The sequence below is a fragment of the Homo sapiens genome, chromosome 4 (genome assembly GCF_000001405.40).
Source record: "Homo sapiens chromosome 4, GRCh38.p14 Primary Assembly".
Taxonomy (NCBI): domain Eukaryota; kingdom Metazoa; phylum Chordata; class Mammalia; order Primates; family Hominidae; genus Homo; species Homo sapiens.
Window position 1 is genome coordinate 131,827,139 of NC_000004.12, and position 19,955 is coordinate 131,847,093.

General features: G+C 36.6%; 1 long non-coding RNA gene across 1 annotated transcript in view; it reads left to right on the plus strand.

Annotated features, from left to right (window-relative positions):
* The window catches only part of LOC105377425 (uncharacterized), a 64,594-nt gene that overhangs the window by 22,962 nt on the left and 21,677 nt on the right, over positions 1-19,955 (plus strand). Inside the window, exons 3-4 of the long non-coding RNA XR_007058477.1 lie at positions 1,479-1,789; positions 3,372-3,445. This is a non-coding gene — a long non-coding RNA (uncharacterized LOC105377425). The remainder of the gene's footprint in view (positions 1-1,478; positions 1,790-3,371; positions 3,446-19,955) is intronic.

Here is a 19,955-nt window from a genome sequence, read left to right on the forward strand (position 1 = left end):
GGGAATTGTAGTCGTAACATTGGATGAAATAGGAAAGACAGAGTAGTAGAGCTCTTTGGAGGCAAGTTCTTTTTACATTTTGAGTTGAAGTTTTCACTTTTAAATGAAATGCATATGGATAAAAATAAAGGTAAATATAGTTATTATGAAATTGTCAACATAAAATGAGAGTTGATGCATAAAAATGAATAGACTGGAAAATGGGAACTTTTTAAATATAAAAAAAATTGCCTCTTTTCTGATAGTATTCTTTCTTCTTAAACTTCATGATTGTTCCTGGAAATTAAAGTGAAAAAAACTATCATAAAACTATGACTCTATCATACCGTAACATTTCAGGGCCCGCATTATTATACCTCCTCTCTCCATCTTGCATGACTGTTTAAAATGGTTCTGTTTGATACACTGACATTCAATTTCTTTTTATGTAGAATGTAATTTGGGAGATTCTCTAAACAATCTGTATAATGGCAGACATGGAATACAACTGAAATTAGAAATATTCTGTTGTAGTTTCCATTCTTTCTTAAAGGTTTTAGCATTTTGTTATGAACATGACAAGCCTTATTTTTTTTTCCACACATAGAAGGAACACGAATTATAAATAAAACAAAACACTGTGAAATACTGCAAATGTAGAATAATTTTTGATCTCATGCACACACCTCGGTAATTTAAATTAAATTCTATAAGTAAATGACTAAATATTTTAAAATTAACTACTTTAAATTAAGATGTATTTAGAAATACTTTTAATGTTATTGAAATTTTTTAAAAAATCTATTGTAATATAAGAAATCATGGTATAATGGAAATACTACATATTTTCAGAAAATTTGGTAATGAATATCATCTCCCAAAAAACCATCTTAGTCGTTGCATAAAATTCTACAAATGATATCTGATTTTAATTTAGAGGAAAGTACATGAACTGAAAGTCCCGACTGAATAAATGCTTAAAAAAGGATGATTAAAAAAAATTTAAAGGTAACATTTATTAATTAAAATAATTCTGATAGAAAATCCTAACAATGTTCATTATTGTCTAGATTTATAATTCTGTAAATTAAATATACATCCCCCTGCAAGTGGCAATACTTCAAAAATTAATTCTAGTTTACAATTTAGTATAAAATAATGTATTAGAAGTGTCCCTGAAAGATGGAGTTTAATGGAGAAAATTGATGAAGATTATGAGTATCAGGACATGGAGAAGAGTAAAAAGTCAATATTGTGGGACAAATTAAATGACATAAAAAATCACCTTTTTTCATTTGATATAATGTAATGGTTATAAAATATCTCCTCAGAGTTCTTCAACTGTCATTTCATCGAGATGTGGGGACTGGGGTCTCTGACCTTGAATCTGGGAGGACTTTTAACTTCTTTGACTAAGAGAATACCAAAAAAAGCAATGCTGTGTAACTTTTGAGACGTGGCCTAGATTGACAATCTGACTTCTGCTCACTGTTTTTCAGAATCCTCCATCTCAGGAAGGCCCCAGTATTGCCAGGCTGGGAGAAACCCAAGCCATGAGGATAGACCATGAATAGGAGTTCTGGTTGACAATCCCAGTTCACTCCCAGCTTCAAATACACAAGGCCAAGTGCCAGATACGGGCATAAAAAGCAATTTTGGAAGTGGACACTCCAGTCCCAGCTGTCCTAGCCCTCAGCTATTTGAGTTGCATCCAGACATGTAAATCTTCCCAGCTGAGGCCTCATCATTGAGGTGCAGAAAAGGGGCATGCCCATTGTGCCTGTTTCTAAATTCCTGACCCACAGAACCTGTGAGCATAATACAAGTTTACTATTTTATACCAGTAAGTTTGGGGTATAGTATTACGCAGCAATACAACTTGATGCACAAAAAATCTCTTCTTTGTTACATAAACTCTATATAAACTGGCATATGCTTAGTTCGTCAACCTCTCTCCAATCTCCTTCTCTTTCCCCAATCTCCTTCTCTTTCCCCATACTCAAACTAATCTGCTTTTTTTTCCTGCTCCTTCAACAAACCAGCACTTGTATTTACACAGTAGATAAATTGCACCATTAACTTAAAAAACACAGTTTCCAAGATTTTTACAAAACTGTCTTATAGTTTAAAGTATCTCAGCCTTTAAGTATCACTTGTTAGATAACATTTAGTTGCCAATCTTTTTATAATTGCTTTCTCTTACTCTACTCCTTAGCTTACAGTCCTTTCTGCTATATTTATCGTATTTGTATAACAGATCAAAATCTGTGGTTATCTATTTATTTACCTAATTTTCAGCTCTCTCCACTTATTATCATATAAGTTACAAACATTTCAAGTCATATCTTCAGTTCACCACATTATACCAGTAGCTAAAATATCATATTACCCATACTAGCCACTCAAAAATATTTATTATGGAATTAATGGAACTCTAAATTTAATCTGATCTCCAAACTAAATATATGGCATAAGTATCAATATAGGTTTCAGGTAGATAGGGTTTAGCTATAAGGAATACACGGTGCAATTAAAAGCAGTTTTCACAGGCAAGTTGTTTACTTACTTCTACAAAAGAAAGAGTACAAACCAGGACAGGATAAGAAGAGCAGCCACACAGGGACGCTGAAGATTTGTTATACACATGCAGGGACATTAATAGCATTTCCTTAGAAAGAGGTATGATATAAGATAGCATGATGCCTGTAGCACCCTGAGACATGATTGCTCATATTGCAGCCAAGAAAAATAGGAAAGACTGAAGCAGCAAAGGGCAAAGGGGCAAAAGACCAAAGCCATGCAGGCCAAGTTTGTGCGTTTTTAAACGCTTTCCTAGGAGCCTATCTTATGATATCCATTTCAATGTCACAAAATTCACATGGCCACACCAAGAAACATGGATATTTTACTTTCCAAATAAAAAACTAGGCAAGAGAAGTTCACATTTGCATAGCCTATCAATAGTGTCTGCCAAGATATTTCCATTTTTTAGTGTATCAGAAAATTGGGCACACATGACTAACGTACTTTTTTCATTTTAAATAGAAACGTGTGTGCATATATATATATAAAATATACATATTTATGTGTGTAAATATGTGTGCGTGTATATGTGTGTGTGTAAAACCAATCAACTTCTGCTGAAAAACTTCTGTAAAACTCATTTTTTTTTCTCTAGTATGTTTCCTCTGAAGGCAATCTTCACATCTAGGGAATATTAATGGTAATAATAACAGCATTGATTTATTGAGAGTTTTCCTATGTAACAATTACTATATAAGCTTATTTTCATTCAGTATGCCATTTAATCTATTTCTCCAGTTTCAATATTAATATTGGTACTTAATAAATGAGTAAACTGAAAATAATAAGTTTAAAATCTTTTTTCACAGCTAATCAGCAATACAACTGGGATTTGATATCAGATTCATGCGATTCCGAAGACCCTGACCACCAAATGCAAAAGGTACATGGCAATAGCTGATTGCAATGAGAGAAAAACAACTAATAAGGCAACAAGCAGGATACCAAGATATTTTCCAAAGTGAATAGCACTGATTCTATGAGGAATGAACATTGCCAAACAAGTGTTTTGTTTTGCTTTTCAACTCCTCTAAAAAAATTCACATATATGCATGCCACTTTCCTGAAAAATATCTGCCTCATAATTGCCATAAGAAACTGTATGGACAACTCTTAAACATTCTGAAAGTAGTCAGGGATGGGGGAAAGCATTTGCTATTTTAGTCTGTTCCTGGTCTTATAACAAATACCACAGACTGGGTAATTTATGATTACAGAGATGCATTTCTGAAAGTTCCAGGAGTTGGGAAGCTCAAGATTATGGCACCAACATATTCATTGTCTGATGAGGGCCTGTTTCATAGATGTCATTTTGCATGACTTAATCACAGGGTAGGAAAAGCAAAGGGACAAAATGGACAAATGCCATGTTGTCACATGGCAGAAGAAATGGAAGAGCCAGGAAGCTCTCAGAGAAGCTTCCTCTATTAGGATATTAATCTCATTCATGAGTGCACAGCCATCATAACTTAATTGCCTCCAGAGGCCCCACTTCCTCATCACTTAGAGGATTAAACTTAAACATGAATTTGGAGGAAATATATTCAAACTCTAGCACTAGTTTAAATGTAGCTAAAAAGGTTTCTTCATTCTGTAACTGTCAATATGCTAATATTTTTGTAAATATCCAAGAGGAAGCTAAAGCATATAATATTCCAAAATTTATTTCTGTTTGTGGATATTATGTTTTCCTCTCATTCTATCTCAAGAAATTAGTGTCCTCAAGAAACACTATATAGAATAATTGTCTTTCAAGTTCATCAACTACTGGTTCTTGATTCTTCAGTAGCTAATCCTGGGTAGTAATACTTAACAGATTATAAAAACTTGGGTGCTGCTATATAAATGTGCTGAAACTCCCAGGGAATCAAACATAAGGACTTAAAGAGAGATGTAACTAGGGATCATAATCATGAATTTCAGCTGCTTCTCTATCTTTGTCAGTGAGCAAATGACCATACAAAATAAGGTATTCAGTTATTAATTCTGTGCCCATATCCCGGAATTTTGCCCAATACATTTGTAAGTTTAGATAAATAAGGCACTAATGCCAGGGATATGTAGCATTAGTTCTGGGTTTATAAAGGGATATTCACAACCTCTTGCCATCCACAGAATTTATCAGCCCAAAGTAAACTATACTCGTTTGTTAAGGGCAACCTGAGACATGTTTAAAACTGAGGTAGACTGAAGAGTCAACTAATTGCAGGAATCTTTTGTTATTTGGTTGAAATGTTCAAACAAGTCCCACTCTGAATTCTATTAGAAATCCATCATTGGCTTATCTCTGTTTCTCACTGTCTTAAATCATGTATTTTATAACACTATGAAGAACGATGTTCAAAAGAATAAGCTAAATTTAATTAATTAAATTATTTATTTATTTATTTTGAGACAGAGTCTCACTCTGTCACCCAGGCCAGAGTTCAGTTGCACGATCTTGGCTCACTGCATCCTTCACCTCCTGGGCTCAAGAGATCCTCCTGAAGCAGGGCATTTCCCTGACCCCTTCATGGGACTCGTGACAGGGGTGCCCCATTTACTCAGCCCACTGCTCTCAACTCCTCGAGGGAGGGAATGCACAACTGAACAAGGCAGGAACTGGAGTACATGAGTGCTGGAACCAGTGGCCTCTTTGGTGCCAGAAGGAGTGAACTCACCCACTCTGACCTGCTGTGTTCCACACCTTGCAGGAGAGAGCATGCAGGTGAGCAGGTACAGGAGCCAGGAAGAGAGCTTTGGGGTGTTGGCAGGAGCAAACTCCATGTGGGCCCCATAGCAGCACCTGGGTTTGAGGGGGTGCCTGTGATTCCTGAAACCCCAGTGGGCATATTACAGTGCTCCTTTAGCTCTGCCATCTTCAGACAGCTGAAGTGTTAGCAGCTCAGCATGCCTTTTTGTATCCACACTCACTCCCAAGCTCTTGTTTGGCATCCAGGAAAAATCAGCTTACAGGAACGAATTGAAGGATGATAAATGCAGAGGATTTTATTGCCAAGGAAAGTGGCTCTCAGCAGGAAGGGCAGCTGGGAAGGAGATGTAGCAGGAAGGTTTCTGGCTGGACTCTTTTCCAAAGTTGCACTGTCAAGCTGTCTCTCTGAAATCAAGCTGCTTCTCTCCAACGTCCAACCGTAGTCTCTGATGCCCAGCTGCTGCTTCTCTTTTGATGTTCAGCTGCTTCTCTTTTTTGCTAGCTGAGTCTGGGGTTTTTATGGGCACAGGATGGGGGACAGGGGAGGTCATGAGTAACTTTGTAAAAGGCAACATTTGAGTGGGAAAACAGGAATGTATGTTCTCACTTTGGGCTGTGGTTCCAGGCTTGAGGGTGGAGCCCTTGCCAGGGACCTGCCCTCTTTTGCCCAGAATTTCCCCACCCCCCATCCCTGTCACTCCCACCTCAACATCCTGAGTAGCTGGGATTATAGGCGCACACCACCACATCTGATTAATATTTAAAATTTTTGTAGAGACAGGGTTTTGTCATGTTGCCCAGGCTGGTCTCAAACCCTGGGCTCCAGTGATTTGCCCACCTCAGCCTCCCAAAGTTCTGGGATTACAGGTGTGAGCCAGTGTGCCTGGCCCTAAATAATATTTATATGGGCATTTTGTAATTATTTTTTTTAATAATATAAATGTTTCTTTTTTAATATGAATTTTTCAGGAGTTTTAAAATTGACTGATTATTCATTAAAATTTAATGAAGGACAGGAATTGGCTATTTTTCTGAATGACAAAAATTAGGAAAGTTTTTAGAGAGATGATGAATTTATCCTAGAATATATGGAAAGAGTAAATCTTGTTATATAGAACAAGAAACTTTCCAATCTGAAGTATCTTAGAATAGTAAAATTTTTTTTTCTAGTTTCCTTATAATTGTTTCAAAGTAATACTTTAGACCAAAAATTGTATATCTCAGTAGGTGGCCTACATGATAATTAAAAAATTAAAAGCTAAGTTAATTAAATTTTTAATTATTTTAATTTTTATTAATTTTAATTATCTATCTTCATTGAAGAATTTTGTCCAAAAAATGTGGATAATATGTGTCATAAGGATTAATCAGCATAAAATAGTCCCCAAAGGAAATTAAAGGACTGATTAGATAGTACTAAAATAACAATTATACAAAGTAGAAAGTGGTGTTATAAGAGAGATATAGATAAAATATTGTAAGAAACTAAAGTAGGAAGATAATGTTTTCAGTTGTGGGAGATCAGGGAAGATTTTTTGGAAAAAGTAATGTTTAAGCTAGATCTTAGAGAGACATGACTTAATAGAAAAGTAGGCAAAAAATATGAATAACCCTTTCAGATTAGAGGCAATACAAATTATGATAAATATAAAAAAATTCTTACTTCACTAGTAATCAAGTAATTGAATTAAACAATTGGATACCATTTTTTCTTCAGCAGATTGGCAAAACATAAGATGTTAACAAGGGTTTTGAGGGTACAGGGAAGAGGGTAGGCTCAAACTATGCTGGTATAAATGTATAACCAAGATCTCCTTTGGAGTACAATTGTTATATAGTCTACATCCTGTAAAAACTAAACACATATGTCTGCCTTTCCACTTTTGGAAATATATGGTAGATAATCATGCGAGAATGTCAATTGCAGTATTGTGTTGTAATTTTAAAAAAAAACTCTAAATATTCATCAGTATATAACTACAAATAAAAATAGTTGGACTATCATGCAGACTACAATGCCTCTATTGTGGCATAATAGTTAATAATACAATCTCTGAGAGCAGAATATCTGGATTTGAATAATTTGCTCTCCCTGTAAATGACCTTGAGCAAAGTACTTACAATCTTTTTTCTCTTCTGTAAAGTGGAGATAATAGCATTGCCAATTTATTAGCTTGTCATGATGATTAAATGAGATAATCCATGTATCACACCAAGTACCCACTACGTAATAAGCAACTAATTAAATTTGACTAATATTAATAATTTCATTATTATTCATCTTAATATCATGGCATGACTTCTAAGGTATATTATTAAATAGAAAAAGAGAAGTTTTAAACTGAGCCATAGCTTAGAACTTGACTTAAAGCAGACTCACAAAGCAAATGCTCATATCTAGGACAGGTAAATCTACACGTGTTTATACACGCATTCACTGTATTTGGGAAAAATACACACCAAACTGGAAACACTGGTTGTCTCTGAAGAAGAGACAGGGCTTTGGCAATATTCAAATTAGGCTTTAACTGTTTCTGAAAGTCTCAGTTCTCTATAAGAAGAAGGTATTACTTATGTAATTTTTAAAAATTACATATAAAGTACTAAATGACTGAAGCTTCTTAGAATTGATGGGGGCAGGCATCACATGGGCAGCAAGGCATTCACATAATGGAGAATCATGGTCTCCTGTAGATGTCTAGGAGTGATAAAATTAACTACCTTTTAGGTGGTGTAGTTTCCTGGCTGAGCTGATAATTATTAAGTTAATGATTAGTAGGTTATTTCTCAACACAGAAGAGATTATTAGTGTTTCAAAGTTTTCACTGTAATTCATCTGTAAAACCATTCAACCTATCTCCAGTACACCTCAGTAATCTGGTGACAAGAGAGTATTCTTGCTCACTTTATTTACTCTTCAGTGATCTAATGCCAATAATGCCAGCCTATAGAAACAACAGCCGATTATAACAAAAAGCACATTAAAAAGTCAAATATAGCTGGGTAATAGACATAAAAATACCTTATTAACATTTTTATAACACTCTCAACTGAAATAAACAGACCACTCTCAATTTTAGCATCTGGTTCCAAACAATTCTTGTTTGGGTGATAACTTTTTAAAAACAAATGCTGGGCATCTTTCATCGACTTTTCATCAAGTAACAGCTGTTCCTTTAGAACAAAATGTATGCATGTTGGAAGTGTGACTGATGCTCACTTCTGTTTTGTTCTGTGTGAGAAAGCTTTATGTTGGGTGCAATTCAGAAAACAAATGGTTTCCAATCTTTTGAATAGATGCCATAGCACAGTTTAAATGCAGCTTCTTGTGATTTTTAGAATAATTTCAGCCACAATTTTTACATTCAATTTATAACTATACTAAGACATTCTCCTTCAGAACAAAGGCATTTCTGTTTTCATGTGCTCTTGGGCATCTTCGGGTCATTCATTATATCAATCATTTATCTTCGTAAAGTGTTTGGCTATGAACAATTACTTACTACACCAAAGCATGAAAGAAATAGATATAGCTCGTCTGCTCTTGAATGCATTTCTACAGATTCCCTTAGGATAATTCCTGTTTCAACTTAAGCTATTAAATTTTTTGCTGAATTCAAATCACCTCATCTGCTGAAACATGTGGAGACAAATAACCACAGACGTTTGCATGAAGGTTCAGGCGTATTTAAGGGCAGCTTAATTATAAGACACTATGAAATTCTCCTAATTAATTTGGAGCAAAATATTCTACATCAAATATTTTACAAAACTTAAAGAAATATTTACTTTTCACATGATTACGATTTTGATACTAGGTTAAAAATGACTTATATTGGCATTTTTTAAACAGTTTAAGACAAATAATGTTTTTGATACTGTTTATTATAACATATGAAAAGTCTTTATATTTATGCAAATATACTCTATTTTATCATCTGTTCATTTAATGTTGCATTTGCATGCACTCCTGAATTACTTGTTACTAAAACATACAGAACAGACAGAAAGTTAAAATTGGTTAATTTCTATCTAATCTGGATAAGATAAACACAATGAGTGAAATAAATCATTATGTCAAATAACCAAAAACCTCATGCATAGAAACTTCAACATTTCTGAATAACAAAAAGTATAACATTATGTAGGGCAAGATGCCACTTTTGTATCAACTAGAAATAAGCCCTGAATCTGAATGATGAAATTTTAATAGTAACTTTTGACTGCAGGGCACAGAGTTTACTCTCTTGGTCAGATGCTTTTGTGAATGACACAAACTGTGTGTCCAGATCACTTTTCCCTATAATCACTTCAAATTATTTGACTTTTTGATCTGTTTATTTTCTCTCTCTCTTTTTTGTCCACAACAGATATTCCAAATATCCACCGAGTTTTCAAATACTCCAGTCCGTATTTGGTCTTCCCATTCCTAGCAGAAGTACTTTGTCTTCTACTTCCCAGAATAATGTTAATTCTCTTATTTTAGACTTGCTTGCTTTAATTTGTATTTGTTCTTGGCTTTTTTTCTTTCCATCTCACAGGATAAGAGGGCATCTCTTCTTCCATATTCATAAATACGTTGCCAACAGGAATTTGTTGTTATTTACACTTTCTTCTCCTAGACATTTTAATTTTACTTACCTTCCTTGAGCACACGGCAAAGTCAAAACACAAGCAGAATCTTACTTATGAATAGAGGCAGATTTATTAAGCCAGGGGTAGGCAAACTATAGCCAATGAGCCAAAGCCAGGCTGCCATGGGTTTTTATAAATAAAATTTTATAGGAACTCAGCCACAGACATTCCTTTACATATTGCCTACAGCTGCTTAAGCACTACAAAGGCAAAGTTGCATATTTACAACACAAACAATATGGCCTGCAAGCCTAAAGTATCTACTATTGTGCCCTTTATAGAAAATGTTTATCAGCTTTTGTTCTGTTATCCTAAGTTATGAGGCTTACATTTCTGGCCACCTCATTTGCATTTGAGTTTCCAGTTTTGAGTTTGTAGTTTTGTATTCTTGCTTGACGAGCCCCAAACCCTGACCTCCAAATTGAATGTGCTGTAGATCCCACAAAATATGGATCCAATCAAGCTGATGCCATGTCATTATCTGTAGCTTTTATTCTTTGCCATCACACACCTTCCTTGAACAGTTAGGCTTCTCCAAAAAATCTTAAATAATCACTGATATGGGTTGGTTCTGTGTCTTCACCCAAATCTCATTTTGTAGCTCCCATAATTTCCACGTGTTGTGGGAGGGACCCAGTGGGAGATGACTGAATCATGAGGGCAGGTCTGTCCCATGCTGTTGCCGTGATAGTGAATGGGTCTCACGAGATCTGACGGTGTTAAAAATGGGAGTTTCTCTGAACAATGTCTTTTTTTGCCTGCTGCCGTCTATGTAAGATGTAGCTTGCTCTTTCTTGCCTTCCACCATGATTATGATGCCTCTCCAGCCATGTGGAACTGTAAGTCCAACAAACCACTTTCTTTTGTAAATTGCCCAGTTGCAGGTATGTTTTTATCAGCAGCATGAAAATGAACTAATACAGTAAATTGTTACAGTAGAGTGGGGTGCTGGTGAAAACATATCCAAAAATGTGGAAGCGACGTTGGAACTGGGTAACAGGCAGAGGTTGGAACAGTTTGGAGGACTCAGAAGAAGACAGGAAAATGTGGCCAAGTTTGGAACTTCCTAGAGACTTGCTGAATGGCTTTGAACAAAATGCTGACAGTGATATGGACGATGAAATCCAGGCTAGGTGGTCTCAGCTGGTGATAAGGAACTTGTTGGGAACCGGAGTAAAGGTGAGTCTTGCAAACACACTGGTGGCATTTTGCCCGGCCCTATAGATTTGTAGAACTTTGAACTTGAGAGACATGATTTAGGGTATCTGGCAGAAGAAATTTCTAAGCAGGAAAGCACTTACGATGTGACTTCGGTGCTGTTGAAAGCATTCAGTTTTATAAGGCAAGCAGAGCATAAAAATTTGGAAAATTTGCAGCCTGACAATGCAATAGAAAAGAAAATCCCATTTTCTGAGGAGAAATCCAAGCCAGCTACAGACATTTGCATAAGATAATGGGGAAAATGTCTCCAGGACATGTCAAAGGTCTTTACCTCAGCCTCTCCCATCACAGGCACAGAGACCTAGGAGGAAGAAGCGGTTTTGTGGGCTGGGCCCAGGGTTCCTTTGCTGTGTGCAGCCTAGGGACTTCATCCCCTGCATCACAGCAACTCTAGCTATGGCTGAAAGGGGACAACATAGAGCTCAGGCTATGGCTTCAGAGGGTGCAAGCCCCAAGCCTTGGCATCTTCCATGTGGTGTTGAGCCTATGAGTGCACAGAAGTCAAGAATTGAGGTTTGGGAACCTCTGCCTAGATTTCAGAAGATGTATGGAAACGCCTGAATGCCGAGGCAGGAGTTTGCCATATGGGTGGGGTCCTCATAGAGAACCTCTGCTAGGGCAGTGCAGAAGGATAATGTGGGGAGGGAGCCCACACACAGAATCCCTACTGGGGCACCACCTAGTGGGGCTGTGAGAAGAGGGCCACCGTCTTCCAGACCCCAGAAGTGTAGATCCACTGACAGCTTGCACTGTGTGCATGGAAAAGCTGCAGACACTTAACACCAGCCCGTGAAGGCAGCCAGGAGGGAGACTGTACCCTGCAGAGCCAGAGGGGTGGAACTGCCCAAGACCATGGGTATCCACCTCCTGCATCAGCATGACCTAGATGTGAGACATGGAGTCAAAGGAGCTTTAGATTTGACTGCCCTTCTGGATTTCAGACTTGCATGGGGCTTGTAGCCTCTTTGTTTTGGCCAATTTCTCCCATTTGCAATGGCTGTGTTTACCCAATCCCTTTACCCCTGTAACCGCATTGTATCTAGGAAGTAACTAACTTGATTTTGATTTTACAGGCTCATAGGTGGAAGGGACTTGCCTTGTCTCAGATGAAACTTTGGACTGTGGACTTTTGAGTTAATGCTAAAAAGAGTTGACACTTTGGGGGACTGTTGGGAAGGCATGACTGGTTTTGAAACATGAAGATATGAGATTCGGGAGGGGCTGGAGTGAAATGATATGGTTTGGCTCTGTGTCCCCATCCAAATCTCATCTTGTAGCTCCCATAATTTCTATATGTAGTGGGAGGGACCTGATTGGAGAAGACTGAATCATGGGGGCAGGTCTTTCCCATGCTGTTCTCATAATAGTGAATGGGTCTCACAAGATCTAATGGTGTTAAAAACAGGATTGTCTCTGCACAAGCTCTTTTTTTGCCTGCTGCCACCCACATAAGATGTGTCTTGCTCCTTTTTGCCATGATTGTGAGTCCTCCCCAGCCATGCGGAACTGTATGTCCAATAAACCTTTTTCTTTTGTAAGTTGTCTGGTCGTGGGTATGTCTTTATCAGCAGTGTTAAAATGGACTAATACAATCACTCTATCAAATGAGATAATATTTATTCCTTTACCACTGACAACTCTCTCTCGGCTCTTCTATTCAATCATGTTACTGATAGATGCTTTGCTTTTTGTTTTTGTTGTTTAACCTGATTGTTATAGCTTATTTTATGAATTTCTGTTCTTCTTTTAATTTTACAACAATTTTACTATTTCTCCTTACATGTTTATAAGTCATACGGAGACTCCTTCTCATCTACCCTGACCCCAGAATATTAAAACTTTTCAGAGTTTCTGGATTAATTCCATTATATGGACATGATTTCTTGAGATAGGAAAAACTGATTTGATTGTGACATTAGACTTATCGGAATCTAAGATCTCACAAAATAAAGCTTTACTAGTAATTTCACGAACTCAGGTAATCATTAGGCATGGGCAAATCAGAGAATTATTTAGATCTCTTAATCTGATTCTTTAGATCCTGGGTTCTATCATTAGATACTCCCTTGCCCAGGCAGAAAGATGAGACTTCTAGAGAGGTATGCCGACAATTTATTTACATGGAGATAACTGTCTCAATTATCAAATATCTTAATTTTTATGCAGATAGTTACATATGTGGTATATGTGACATTTTCCAGGGAGCCCCATAAATCCACAACCTTCTACTTTGTTAACCATAAGCAATTCTAAACGACCAAGTACATTCTGCTAAAAGCATTTCTGTGATAGATGATCACTCTCCTGCTAGCAAAAAAACAAATTGTTTGTCAGGAGCTGTCATTAGTATGTTTATATAAGCAAAATGGGCTTCCTTCCTTCTGTGGATCCTGGCAGGGCATCTCAGTAATCAGAAAGAATCAAAGACCCTTTCCTTCCCAGTCTGCTCTGGCCTTGGTCAACATCTTAGTGCCAAATATTGCTGGTGTATTATCATTATTGGCTTACACCATTTTCTGCAGTGTTTCACTTAAGCCAACTGATACTCTGACCTTGATTTGAACCATCCAACAGAGAGTAGGAATTCCCTCCACAAAGCACGTTACTCATTAACATCTTCCTTTACAAGTCTCTTGATGTTCATTCACAAACTCAATTACCTTTTTCCTCCCTCAACCTCAATTATTTGCATCATTTTCCATGGGCCTATGGGAGTATTTAATTGAATACATATTTTTTCTTCTCAAATCAAATTTTCTGAAAAAAATTTGTTTCTATGAACTGTATTTTAGGTATATTCCAGGTTGGTACAAACACTAATTTTCAGGGGTCATTATGTCAAAGAGCCCATCCACACCCCATGGCCTACATATGTCAAAGGATTGTTCTTTATTCATCCACTTTCTACGAATTCCACACATGGGAGATAAACTTCTTTTTCATCCATATTACCAGGGCTGTCAGGGAGCAACATTAAAGGTCACAGTGTTCAGTGAAACCTTGCCATAACTTAGGCTAAACACGTTTTTCCCATAATTTTACTTCTTCAGCTTCTTTCTTTCCTTTCTTTCTTTCTTTCTTTCTTTCTTTCTTTCTTTCTTTCTTTCTTTCTTTCTTTCTTTCTTCCTTCTTTCTTTCTTTCTCCTTTCTTTCTTTCTTTCTCCTTTTCTTTTTCTCTCTTTCTTTTTCTCTCTCTCTTTCTCTATCTTTCTTTCTTTTTCTTTCTTTCTTTTTTTTTTTTTGGCAGGGTTTCACTCTTGTCACCTAGCTGGACTGCAGTGGCACAATCTCGGCTCACTGCAACTTTCACCTCCCAGGTTCAAGCAATTCTCCTGCCTTAGCCTCCCGAGTAGCTGGGATTACAAGCACCCACCACCATGCCTGGCTAATTTTTGTATTTTTAGTAGAGATGGGGTTTTGCCATGTTGGCCAGTCTTGTCTTGAACTCCTGACCTCAGGTGATCCACACTCCTCAGCCTCCCTAAGTGCTGGTATTACAGGTGTGAGCCACTGTGCCCGACCTTGAGCTTGTTTTTTTATGAATTCCTGCAACTCAACATTAAAGACATAATATCCCATAGTGATTAATATATCCAATAGTCCTTCCTGACTAAAGGTACAAAGTTAATCCTAGTGTTGTTAATAAGAATGGAAGTCATTATTTATTCAGTGTCTTCAGTTCAAGCATTGTCTTAAACCAAACTGATTTCCTACTACAACTGAGTCCTCTAAAAACAGCTTCCTCTAGTGTCCCTATTTGAAGTAGCAAGTCATTTTTATCATAATGATGGGCCTCCTAGAACACTACTTCAATTAGATTCAATATCACATGACCAAATCCTGTAATTCTTTCAAAATGCCTGGCAAAGGGGCCAGTGCTGCTTAACTTGCCACTTACGTAGTTCATGTTATGTGCTAATTAAATGTGTCTAGTTTGAAAGCATTGTCTACACCTACAAATAATGTGCTTCATGAAATTCTCAATTAGGTATATCCTAGCACCAGATACCGTTTTATCTGGCTGTGCCATAGGCTTCCCTTAAATGTCCTCTACGTACCTCTTGAGGGAGTTATTTATAATTTTAAAGCATTAAAGCAAACATAAAATCACATTCTCTGAGGCTTTCTAGGTTCTAGTTTTATATTATTTAAATTAATTCCATTTACATTCACACTGATATGTTCAAAGCAACAGATCAGATCAAGCTGTGACATACCAGACAGGCAGCCACTATCTGCTTTCTATCATAACCAGGGAGCTGTCTTAGCAATGTATCATTTTGATTTATGGCCATATAGAGTGCAGAAATTCTATTGTACAGCATCCTCTGCTCTGTACAATTCACTGGTAGTTTCTCTGGAAAAAAATAATCTAGAATGGTAAACAAAGCCTAGAAACTGAGTGATAACTGTAGTCAACTACACATAAGCTGAGTTGTCAGGGGGCACTTTGTCATTTGTTTTATTCAAATTATACAGGTAGAACATCCAAATCAGTAGGAGTCCAATTTTCCTTTTCTGCAGTAAGCAGGCCAAGAGATTTTCACCAAGAAAGCCCATTTATTTGGATGAAAATAGCAAAAGATAGTTAAGTATGATATCCTCACTCTGAGCTGTTTGCATGAAAATATTGTAGTGGCTTCCCTCCACGGTAATGTAATCTACTTATAAACACCTTTCCCATCTGCTATGATTTTACCCTATTTCCAAATGCTTCCTCCCAATATCAGGCTGTATAACTCATCATGCATAATGTTTGCCCACACAATCAATAACAAGAACCTTACTAGCACACCCAAACAAATGTTTGGGTTTTATTTGTTTGTTTGCTTAACTTTTATTTTAAGTTCAGGGGTACATGTGCAGATTTGTTACACAAGTAAACTTGTGTCATGGGGTTTGTTGTCAAACAAATGTTATAAGTGATAGACAGAGGACCTCAGAAGTCTCTCCTCTGCTTGATAATGGAGCTACCTTCACCTTTAGCCCTAATTTGATTACATAGGAAGGAACTTTTGATCCACCACAAATTACCTTTCAGAAAAGGCACAGTCAAATTAAATGACAAGAATATCACGTCTTGGGTAATGTATAATCTTCCTCTGGTGCAAGTAAACTTAAAACTGGGTTTGAGACCACCATTAGAGGCCAAATAAAAGTATTAGATGTGGGAAAGATATAAAGTTATATATTATTGCATTCCCCTTCACTCCCTCATTACTACCTGTTGATTTTAGTAAGGCACAGTGGATTTTGTGATTTATTTCTCATAGTAGTCTCAGGAAGCAATGGTTTCACTAAATGAACCCTTAAAAATTTTTGAGCAAGGGGTCTTGCTTTTCATTTTTCACTGGGTTACAGAAGTTATGTAGCTGGTCCTTCCTGTTGACATTGGCTGTGTCATTCAGTGCAACAGCATGTGTCTTTCAAATGGATTATAGCAAACAGCTGCCACAGGCATATTTTGAGTCAAAATCGTGAGGAGTCTAAATTGGTGGTCCCATTTAACTTTTCCTAAAGGGCTCTAGTTTGGGTATGCCCTAATATCATCTGACCAGTTGGATGGGATCATAAGGGCCTAATGTTATTGCCTGTGCTACCACCTACCACAATACTTTTCATGCTTATTTCTATTCCGTACCTGCAGTGAGTTAAATAGTGCTCTTCTAAAATTATTACTCATTCAGAATCTCAGAAGGTGACCTTCTTTAGAAATTTGCACATATAATTAGTTAAGATGAGCTCCTACTAGATTAAGGAGGGTCCTAATTCCAATGACTGGAGGTGTTTTTATAAGAAGAGAGGACCCATGGAGAAGAGATTGAAAATGAAAGCAGAAATTGGAGTAATAAATCTATAAGTAATAAAGCTCCAAAAATTTGTAAGAGAGAGTAGAACCTAGGCAGGGGCAAGAAAAGATTTTTTTCTGTGGCTTTTCAAGGAAGCGTGACCCTATTGACTCCTTGGCTTCAGACTTCTAGCCTCCAGAACTGTGAAATAATAAATTTCAGTTGTTTTAAGCTACCCAGTTTGTGGTAATTTGTTCCAGCAGCCCTAGGAAAGTACTACAATGCTGTATTCACGTTCTGAACTCTTTCCAGTTATTTTGTGAGTATGGGTAGACAAGATTCTTAGAACAGTCTTGACAGTCTCTGAGTTTATTGCTTATTGATGGGTCCTATGAAAGATAAATTACTTCTCACAGTTTAAGGAATGTCCTAAGTTGATCTGCACTAATTTACAGGATTTAGTTGCAGTTTAAGGAATGTCCTAAGTTGATCTGTACTAATTTCCAGGAATTAATTTGCACCTTGGGCTGTGCCTTAAATTATAGCTGGATTTATCAGCCAGCTTCTATTTGTAATATGGGTGACTATGGTCCTTAACTCCTCTCCTAATTTTTGCTCTGAGAAGAAAATTATCATCATACCATGAAAGTAGTATATGAACTCTATCTTTTAGGTTATTCTTTACCAGATTATGGAAATGTGATAATGAATTTTTTTAAAAATCCATGATAAGACAGTAAACATATACTTGTTTCTATTCTGCAAAGCTTAAAATATTCCTACTTGAAATTAAAAAAAAAAAAAAATCTTAGGAGGCCCCTGAGATTGGTTTAATGCTCTGTTGTAGCTATCTTGAAATTCTTCATAATTTTTGAGTAAGTATCCATGCATTTTCATTTTATACTCAGCTCTACGAATTATGTAGTTAATCTTGATAACATATCAGAGCCTCTTGTCTACTTTATTTTCTGTACATTCTTAATCATATCAGGTACAGATGAAGCATGCAAATGAACCACCTTGATACTCTACTGTAACTGTCCAGGGGCTACCTACTTATTGACCAGTTAGAACTACAAAAAGGAAGTTAATGTGGGGAGGGGAACTTCCTTCTGAACCATTTTCTTAATTACAACAGTAGTCTCTTATTGCGCCCTTGGAATTCTGCATTGCTTAATGTTTACTATTGTGGAGAGCTTGAGCAATTCCAAAGGATCCCATTTGGCATGGCTGATTAAAATTTGGTGAAGAGTGAGCTTAGTCTTCATCCTCTGTGGAAACACAAAGACAACAATGTCCCATTCATATTGAATGACAATTGCAATTTTGTATTTATGTAAAGGTAGCACAAGCAGGTAATATTCTCTCCAACCACACATTCCAACCTGTAACTTCATCTTTACCTTGGTTTCCTCCCTGATGTTCTCTTCATGCACTCCAGATTTCACTTAGAGCATGTATGAGGCTCTTTCCTACCTTCCATAAGGCCTACTGTAAATTCTGCTCTACATCCTACCAATGATAAGAAACTTTGAATACCACTCCAGGTAACTTTGTTCAAATTATTATATATATGGCCTCAGATCCATGACTGGGACTGGAATGAACAGACCTCAGTTCTTTATTTAATTGTTTTCAGATTCTATGGCTTTAATTAAGTCAGTAAACTCAGCCCCCTGTTCAAGTATATTCTCTTCTATATCACTATCCTCATAATTGGATTTGAACTCTTTCAGCCATAATAAATAAAGCAAATTTTCTATGATTCTTTAAGGAATTGGTGGGTGCTACAGTACTCCCCTCCTCTGATTCAAAAGTTTATAATGTGCTTTTACTTTCTTATTAAAAATTCTATCAAGGCTTACTTTTTAAATCCTATTTATATTTTCTTCAAAAGTAAATTAATTCAAGTGAGCTGCCTTTCTATTTTCTCTTCTGATTTTTAATTTCTCCCTGTTGTGCACATGATATAAATGCTTTTTCTTCATGTAATCCCATGTATAGTAACTAAACCTGTATGTTTGTTACTGCTCTCTGAATATATATATTTGGCTCTCAAGGTTATATAAGTCTTGTAAGACAGAGCATCATTAGCTTATCCCATTCACTCTATCTCTTATTATTTGTATCAATAACATTAACTAAGGTGTTTTCTCTCTGGAAAATATAAAGCCTGTCAACATTTACACTTGTATCATTCCTATCATGTGAAAAGGAGAATCCAATTGGCAATTTGGAGAGGAATAGTAGCAGTTACCCTTCTCAGTATAGGACTGACAAATCTCACCTTAACAACTGCAGCCGATATGCTATCACAGTATTTGGAAGTGTTTTCTCAAAAGTTTACAGCCATTTAATGATTAGTCATGACCATGAATAGTCCTTTGCATCAAATAATAATAGAATTGCAACAAGTCCTCCATCATTAATTTGAAGAATCCATGCCAATGTTAATTCACCAGTCTTCTGTTAGTGAATATTCTGTTCTTTAATAAAATATAGTTTTCATTCATCACCTGACCTTGGACTCCAATTGCATAAATAGTTTGTCCAATAATCAATATTTTGAGTCATTTCTAAGGATACATGAAATTTCTCCAAGAAACCAGGGAGGGATAAGAAGGTTTTCCAGCGAATAAAATGTAATCTCGCAGCTTTTACTCCCACTATCATCTCCTCCTATTAAAAACTAACCTATTAAAAGGTTAGCTTTTACAGGTATGCTAGCAGGAGTCAGCCAATGGGATTTTCACCCAATTTCCCTTTGTCCATGTACTCCCTAGACCTGTACTCCCAGACTATAGTCTATGGCCCCCAGATTTCAATGGTAAGACTTATTTCCCTTAGCCTGCCTCAAAGATTCCACTACCTCATACCAAAAATGTACAGCCAACTATCCTGAGAACAAATTCTCATATTTTTCCATTATCTCCTTTTGAAAAGGAGCACAGGTAGAAAAAGAAAACATTCACTGTTTTGATGTGTGGGTCTAAAAGACAATCCTGCTCACAGTGCCAATCTGAACCCACAAAAAGCATTGAATTGTCAAATCAGAC